This window comes from Homo sapiens, chromosome 20 (assembly GCF_000001405.40).
Source record: "Homo sapiens chromosome 20, GRCh38.p14 Primary Assembly".
NCBI classification, from domain to species: Eukaryota; Metazoa; Chordata; class Mammalia; order Primates; family Hominidae; genus Homo; species Homo sapiens.
Genome location: NC_000020.11, coordinates 59400063 through 59409034, shown reverse-complemented (window position 1 = coordinate 59409034; position 8972 = coordinate 59400063). Strand labels below are relative to the sequence as shown.

Here is an 8972-nt window from a genome sequence, read left to right as displayed (position 1 = left end):
TCCCATGCTAATGAGGACTTAGACCGCATGTACCTAGCAGGTACCTAGCAGTCAACAGGGTCTGGGAAATCTCTTCTTGCCATCTGAATGTGCTCCCCCACAGTGAGTTATGCCTGATGAAGCGCAGAGGAGAATTCAGCTGCAAAATATAGGGTTGTTTGTTGTGTGAGTGAACTTCCTGCATCGCCATTTTTAAAGATGCCTATTAAGCACGTCATGGAGCATGGAAAATACTCCAGTTTGTTATAAATGTGTGTCAAGGCCAGGCGCAGTGGCTCACGCCTGTAATCCCAGCACTTTGGGAGGCTGAGGCAGGTGGATGACTTGAGGTCAGGAGTTCAAGAACAGCCTGACCGACATGGTGAAACCCCATCTCTACTAAAAATACAAAATTAGCCAGGTGTGGTGGCGCATGTCTGTAATCCCAGCTACCCAGGAGGCTGAGACAGGAGATTCACTTGAATCCGGGAGGCGGAGGTTGCAGTGAGCCGAGATCGCACCCCTGCACTCCAGCCTGGGTGACACAGCAAGACTCTGCCTCAAAAAAATAAACAAACGAATACATAAATAAAATAAACGTGTTTCAAGGAAATCTGCTCAAGAAATACAGATTGTGGTTCCTTGGGTGAGTGCAATTCTGGTTTTCCTCTTCTCGTGGGGGGCCTCCATCTTCTATTTTATCCCTGCTTCCTTTGCCCCCCTTCCTTTCAAAGAAACAATGCTTGAAGGTCACAAAGATATGAAAAATGAGAAGGCCTCACCTCTGGGGGCAGGGCAGGGGGTCCTCAATAGGCCCATGGGGACCAGGAAGCAATACATGAGGGCCAGCTCTCGTTTTCTTGTTTTTCCCACCCTGGCTCCTGTTTTCCAGGCTGCAGCCCTAATTCATTTGCTCTTTGTTTCTTGTTGACAGTGAAAAATTGTGACCTTTTTTGGTTTCGTTCTTATCGACAGCAAAGGGATGGATTTGCCTAAATAGAAAATAAGACTTGCCATGCATATTTCACACTGCTTGAGAAAGGTGAAGCTAGAAAGACCTTTTCCAATCACCAAACCTTTCAGCAAGCTACTGTCACTCTATCATTCATTTAAAGTCAACTTTGAGCACCATAATGCCCCCGAATCTAAACAACTTGTGTTCTCACCCGAGCACTAGCCTAGGAGCCCTGAAAAAAACATCCTACTTTTCTGGGTGTCTTGCTGAACCTATATGTTTATGACTAAAATCAGTCCTCCAAAAATGTGGCCAATAGAACTTTCAATCTTATTATAGGAGGCATGATAGAAGTGCTCCTGAATTCAAGGACAAGAAATTTTTTCCATCCAGAGTCCCACACGCCAAAAAAAGCAAATGAATCCTGTGTGTGGAGAGAGGTTCCATGAATCAGAGTCATTCATTTCTAAAGTAAAGGACATGTGAGATAAAACTCAACGTAATACACTCAGTGAATAAAAGTATTACTGTACGTGGTGGTCAAAGAGGGATGGAGAGAGCAGAGCTAGGAAGGAAAGAGCAAGGTACAGAAACAGGCCTAGGGAAATGGAAAAGGGAAAAAGAAAAAAAGAAAAGAAACAAGTAAGCAAAAGCTAAACTCCTTGACATTATCTCCCTAACTTGAGTGTAGAAAGTAGGGGTTTACTGAAGACACAGCCAGGTCCTGCCACTCTTTGTAACCTCAGGCTGCAGCATAGCCCCCAGAACATAGGAGACACTCAATAATTGCTTAAACAGTTGGACAAGAGGCAGAAAGAATATGAACTTTACGGAAGTCATCCCTCATTTTATGACTGAGATAAACCCAACGTAGCTCAATTTGCCTCTCCTCTTTTTACCCTTCTTTTATTGTTTTTCCTTCTTTCGTTATTTTCTTCTCTTCTTGAGGAGAAGATACAAAATACATTTTCACTCCTTGGATTGCAGCAAGCAGAGAAGCCACACCTCGCAAGAAACCTTACATCCAGGAATAAGGCTCTGGGATCTGGATGCACCTGCCTAAGTTTATGCAACTCTGCACCCAGGTTTACCCGTTTCTGATGAAACTCAATGGAGGTATGTCCAGCTAGAGGCTTGCTAGTGCTCTAGGAAACCGTTTCTCCAGCTGTCTCTGTCCACAGATGACTTGGGAGTCAGAAGGAAGGCTTGGCCTGCTCACGTGACTGTGAGGAAGACACCCCCTGTGGGTTTACACTGAGGCTCAGAAAGGACAACTTTTGCACTGGCAACCTGGCAGTGCCCTCTTTCAGTAAGCCCCCGTTTCCTAGCTGAGAAGTGAAAGGTTTGGATTGGGGATTCAGACTCTTTCCTCTATGGGCCTAGAGCTTGGCTGTTGTCACACAGGGAGAGCGGGAGCCAAGACTCAAGCTTAGTACTCCTGCTTCCTCAGCAGGGCTTCTTTCGCAACTTTGGGAAATTCTTGTTTGTGAGGATCAACACTTGCCTTGCTCTGGATGGCTTTCCAGCTCCCAAGTGTGGACTTCTCAAAGATTCTTAGAAACCCTGGAGCCCCCATCATCACCCAGAACCTCCAAAGCCATCTTGAGACTTCGGTGGCTACACATCCACTGCTCCTCCATTGGTCCACTGTGAAATTGGGACAAAAGATATCTTATTTTTTAGGATTCACATGGATTCATGATGGAGAGCAGGAACAAGTGCCTCATGTTTAGACTAAAGTGTGAATGGCTGATATAATTCTATTTCCAGCACATAAACATTGCAGGTGAGGTTCCACAATGAGGGCACATCCACAATGGATGGTTTCATGGCAAGGACGTCAGTGTTCCCCAAAATTTGACTTCTATTTCCATTTCATCTAATGTAATCCAGTCTCCTCTTGGGGAAGTTCAGTTCAACATGGGTTCTAAACATTTCTCATTTGCAAATTATCACGGAGCTGAAACTTCTAAAAATAAACATGGTAAGATTTATGGCAAATTGAAAAAGTCTCCTCCTTGAAAGTGATTCTCAAGTGAAACTGAGTGAGAACAACTGTTTCGGGCCATCCAGGAAACAACGGAGTCTGCAGCTGTTTCACATCCACGCTTCTTCCTTGGGAACTCTGTAGACTGGTAATTTGGGAATTAGGCATTTTGTTTCAATGACTATTGCAGAATACTTTTCAGACTATTGTTTTGAATATCATGAGATGGGCTGTTTAAATATTTTATTTCAAAGTTGGAGTCAAGAGTCCAGAGTGTGGATCCAGCTCCTCTCCCTCAGATGCTCATAAGGAGTTTGAATAGCTTTAAGTCAACGTGCAAGAATGCTGAGAACACAACAGCAATGCCCACAAGGAGACGGCTTTTCAGGGTTCATCCCCACCCTCACAGGAGCACGGAGAGGGGCTCTGAAGCAAGAAGTCTTTGAGAGCTGACACCACTAAGTAGAGAAAATGGACAGAAGCTGACTCGGCAAACCTTCGCCACCTGGTCAACTGTACATGGATAGATCAAATTATGCATTCACTCACTTGACAAATATTTATTAAGTACTCCAATCCCTTACCTTCTCTTTGCATCCAGCACAAGCCAGCTCTGGCCGCTTCCCTGACCACTGCGCACCTGCCCCAGGGCCCTTCCTGCCATTCCTCAAACGGGCAGAGCTCATTCTCCCCTGACCCCGGGCCTCAACCTGCTATTCACTCTGCCTAGAATACCCTTCCTGCTGTTCTGCACTCAGCCAGCTCCTTCTTCTTATCCCCGCCCCCCGCCCCTTGTGTAAAGGAGCCCTCTCCAATTACTGTCTATCCTATTTTGCTTCATTCACAGCCTTTGTCTTCTGAAATTGTCTTGTTTACTTATTAATACATGGTTTTTGTCCTCTCTCCACCAGAATGTCAGTTCCCTGAGAGAAGAGGGACCTATCTTGTTCAGGCTGTGTCCCTAGCGGCCAGCACGGCTCCCGAAATATAACAGGTCCTCAATAAACATCTGTTGAAGAAACGATGTTCTCTTTAGCCTATCTCAGCCGGCGGGTTGAGAGGGAGAAGTAAGTAGGACACCGGGAAGGGCTTTAAAGCAGCACAAATACTCCCTGTGAGACCGGACTGGGATAAAGACAGGTTTTGAGCACTGACCTCACCGGGATGGTGGATGGGCAGGTGAGGACGACGGTGGCTTTGCCTCATCTCCCAGCTGTGACTGAGAGGCCCCCGTGGACCTGGCCCAGTGTGGCTCCATTAGTGGCCTCCCCAGGATCTGGCTAAGGTGGTATATTTTATGGTCCTGTCTATACTGCTGAGCTAATCCTTGTTAACAGGAGACAAGAGGGCATCAGAAAGATTGCCCCGGCCCAGAACTTCTTAGCTGGGATACAGTGAACACAAATCATTTGAATTCCCCACCCAGCAACAGCAGACATTCCCGGCATCCTCCTGAGCCTCTCCACTTGAACGTCTGCAGAGGTATTTATCCCATAACCATCCTGGGGTGGTCGATGCCAGGGAGATCCAGCTCCCCCTCGGCTGGGAGCTGTGCCTGCTTAGTCATAATGATCCCTCCACCGTTTGGACTGCTGCCTCCTGAGAGCCTGTCGGGTACAAAAGCTCTCAAAGCTTCATACTTCATGTGATCTTCCCAGAAGCTCTACCGGGGGGTGTTCTTTTAGACCAGTTCCAGATGGGGAAACTGAGGCACAGAAAGGCAACGTGAGTTGTTCAAGTTCCCCAGACAGTGAGTGGATGGGCAGAGAGTTGAGCCCACGTCTGTGTGCTCAGCCTGTCTCTGCTGCCTCTGGTGAACGAGGCGGGGCTGGACAGATGTGCGGGACCCAGGAGTACAGGAGAGCCCCCTAAGTCTGCACATTCTAGGACAGGAGATTGGAGACAAGTCCCTTTTCTTGGGGTCCTAAGTGGGGTTCACTGTGTCCCTGAAATCAAGGTCTCTTGGGCCCCTAAAAGGAAAGTTTTCTGGAAGCTTCTGGAAAAGTCCCTTGGAATCTGAACATCTACGAGAAGAGGAGAAAGGAAGGGAACATTGTATACAAAGACACCACAGCTGCCCAGTGGGTCAGGGGCGTGCGTCTCTGAGGGTCGGCTTAGACCTGGCAGCTCCGAGCCAAGCAGGGATTCGGGATCCGCACAGCCGGCGGGGGGCCCGGGGGGTGCGACCGCTGTGCTGCCGGCAGTTCCGCCCGCGGCCTCGTGGTGGCGCTGTTGTGCAGCGAGTGAGCGCGGCGCGTGGGGGAGGCTTCGGCAGCGCCGGGGCCCAGAGATCTGCAGACTTCGCTGCGCCAGAGTGGGGGTGCAGCGTGGGGAACAGCCCGCTGGCCCCTTCTTCCTCGGGCCCCGTGCCCCCCACTCAGGTTCCTGGGGCAAAGTCATGGTTGTTGTCATCGCCCCTGATTGAGCCTAGATGAGACGTGGTCCCAGAGACAAGGGATTCAGGGGACTGGAGGAGGGACCCCCGCTGGGGTGGCTCGTTGGGGACCAACTTGCCTGGCACCGAGATACCCTGCCCCGCTCCAGGCCTGGGAGCATCCTAGGAGACTGTGGCCCGGTGTCCTCGGGGGCCTGGCACGGGCTGGGTTCAGTGAAGTGGAGGGTCCCCTCTTTCTGGGCAGGGGCGTCTGGCCGCGAGGGCGTCACGGGGTACATTGAACTCCTGCTGCGACACCTGTGTATCCAGGCCCGGGAGAAGACAGAGCGCCTCCCTGCAAGGGGAGACCGGTTCCCACCTGGACTAGGTGCGGGGACAGGGGGAAGGTCCCTGAGAGGACCCTGGGGACGGAGCAGTGGGAGAAACTTCCTTCTTTCCTAGTGAAAGGCACTGCCTGCCCAGGGTGCAGAGTAAATGGACAGTGACATTGGGCCCAGACAGTGACACAAACACCCTTTTCAGACATGGAAAGGGGGTGCGTGTGACAAAGACAGAGAGCTCTCCTAGCTAAAGAGAGAATAACACAGGCACTCTCTTCTCGTGATAAGAAAATGGGTGACAGTGACCCATGCCCCTTTTTCTAAAGAGCAGGAGGGAGAGCGCCGGGTTTTCAGATTTGCAGGGCGAGTGCGTGCAGGTCCCCAGCCCCTGTAAGGGGTTAAGGTAGGAGATATTTCTGCTGGTGGGAAAAAGCAATAAACTATGATTTTTCCACCAGAGGGAGAGAGAGACAGAGGCAGAGAGAGAGAAAGATTGATTTTTCTTCTTGGAGAAAGCACACACAAGCACGTGTTTTCCTGTGTGCGGGGAGAGACAGAGCAACAGGCAGGGCCGTGTGCACACACCCGTAACATGTGCTACCTGGGGAGTGAGCAGGTACTTATGTTTTCCTAATGTGGTGTGTGTTTCTTGGCTGTGGCAGGGGAAACGTTTCCAAGAGGGAAAGAGAGAAAGAAGAAGAGAAAGAAAAAAAGAGGGAGGGCATTTTCTGCCTGTAACATACACGTATACATAATTTTCTGCAAGCTACAAAATAGTGTTTTTCAAGTGGTGCACACACACTTCCCTAGAGAATGGGAGACATATTTGCTTAGCAGGGGAGCCCGGTGAAGAGACGTGTGTGTGTGTGTGTGTGTGTGTGTGTGCGCGCGCGTGTGTGTCTGTACTGTGTGTGTGAGAGAGAGAGAGGGGAGACAGTGAGAGGGAAAGACAGTGAGAGAAAGAGAAGAATTTTGTTCCCACTTGGAAAAATCACATACGTATTTTTCTGCTTACAGGGAGACAAATCCACACAGAGAGACATTTTTGCTTATAACCACACACCTATGAATGCACACAGAGTTTTCTTCTTTTCCAACGTGTGTTTTTCATATTTTGTGTGTGCTTTCTTGGGGAGAGGGGAGTTATGTTGCCCGGTGATGAAAAGCTTTAGAGAGAGACTTTTCTGAGAGGGAAAAAGAACATTTTCTGCCTGGAGACACATGTATTTCTGTGAGCCGAGAATTTCAAAAGTGTTGGTATTTCAGGTGGTGCATACTTAGTGAGAAAACAGACATTCTGCCTGAGATTGTGTGTGTGTGTGTGTGTGTGTGTGTGTGCCAGTGCACCTCACGTACATGTTTTCCCGCAGAGAAAAAGATGCGTATATTTTTCTGCCTGCAGGAAGAGATAGACTAACAAAGTGAGGGTTTTTTTCCCACTACACACGTGCACACAAACACACACACACACTTTTCTAAGTGTGGAAAGACGGTGAGAGTAGGTTGTTATTTTTTAGGGAAGAATGTATTTCTGCCCAGTGAGTTTTGAAAAGTGACTTTTCTGAGTGAAGATTAAGAATATTGTTATTTGCCTGGAAACAAGCAAGCACATAATTTTCTGCAAGCCCAGAAATAGTGTTTGTTTGCTTGTTTTTCAGGTAGTACATAGAGAAGAGCCACATGTCTGTGTGTGTGTGTGTGTGTGTGTGTGTGTGTGTGTGTGTGTGTTGGCGTATTTTTTCTTTCTGGAAAAAAAAGAACATGTATTTTTTTGCTTGCAGGGAGGCAGCTCAACATGGAGAGACTTTCATCGGCTTGTACCCACAAACACACACACACAAAAACAAACACACAACCACAACCACAAACACACATTTTCCTTCTTGTTGTGTGTGTGTATGTGAGAGAGAAAGAGAGATTTCTGCCCAGTGACAAACCTTTAGAGAGAGACTTTTCTGAGAGACAGAGAATATTTTCTACCTGGAAACATATTTTTCTGAGGGCTGGGGATTGGAAAGTGCTGGTTATTTCAGATGGTAAATACTTAGAAAACAAAGACATTCTGCGTGTGTGTGTGTGTGTGTGCACATGTGTGTACATCTGTGTATATAAGAGAGAGATAGACAGAAAAACAGACAGTAGTTTTTCTGCCTGGAAAAAAAAGATACGTGGTTTTTTGGCTTGCAAAAAAAAAAAACAGACCAAAAGGGAACAGTTTTTCTCACACACACACACACAATTTTCCAATATGAAAAGGAAGTCAGAGTGGGAGTGATCGTCTTCTCTAAAGTGTTTTTCTTGGGGAGGGGAATCATTTCTCCCAGTGAGAAAGTGCTCTGGAGGAAGCAATTTAGGAGGAAAAAAAATCATTTTCTGTCTGGAGACACACACACACAGATTTTCATAAGCTGAGAATTAGAAGAAAAAGAAGTGATTTTTAAGTGGTGACACTTGATGGGCAGGGGGAAGGTTTCTGCCTACGCACGCGCGTGTGTGTGTGTGTGCGCAGACATGGAAAGGCTGACAGGATGTGTACTGACGTGCACACAGTGCTCTTCTGGTTGTGAGTGTGTGCGCGCCTGCTGACTGGTGTGAGTGTGTGTGTGTGCAGGGGAGGGCACGGCAGGTTGTTCAGCCTAGTGACAGAGCACTTTAGACATTTCTCAGGGAGCAACAGTATTTTCTAACTGGAGATAAAGGATTTCTCAAGAGCCAAGAATTGGATAATGACCTTTCAGGTGGTGCAAAGTTATTGAGAGAAGGGGAAACACGTGTGTGTGTGTGTGTGTGTGTGTGTGTGTGTGTGTGTGTGTGTGTGATTTTTCTACCTAGAAAAAGACACATTTGTTTGCAGAAAGAGATGAACCAACGGACATTTTTTTGGCCACGTACATGAGAGTGTGTGCAGGTGCACACACACAGACTTTGCTCAGTGTGAAAAGGGCGGGCGAGTGTGAGTGGGCTTTTCTCTGGTGCGGGAGAGAGTAGAGGGCAGCTTCAGGGACAGACATTTGAGTGAGACAGATCATTTTCTGCCCGTAAACAGACACAAAATATTCCAAGAACTGAGAAATCATGTTCTAGGTGGTGAAGCCTTAGTGAGAATTGGAGAAAGGTGTGTGTGTGTGTGTGTGTGTGTATGTGTGTGTTATCTGAATTGTGTTTTCTTGGGGGCCCTTTCTGGGTGAGAGAATGTCTTGTGCCTGAAGACAGACACAAATTGGCAATTGCTCATGAGCCAAGAACTGCAGGGAATGAGCATCGTGTGCTGGAGGCGGTGCACCCTGGGGCCGGCAAGGGGGACATTTCTGTCCCAAGTGCCGTGTATTCGTGTGT

The 8972-nt window shown here is 48.0% G+C and overlaps 1 annotated feature.

Annotated features, from left to right (window-relative positions):
- Window positions 4100-4600: an enhancer, noted in NCBI's record as "H3K4me1 hESC enhancer chr20:57979490-57979990 (GRCh37/hg19 assembly coordinates)". NCBI's record gives its function as "activates a minimal SCP1, AML or CMV promoter by ChIP-STARR-seq in primed H9 embryonic stem cells {active_cell/tissue: H9 hESC(primed)}" and the evidence as "EXISTENCE:reporter gene assay evidence [ECO:0000049][PMID:30033119]".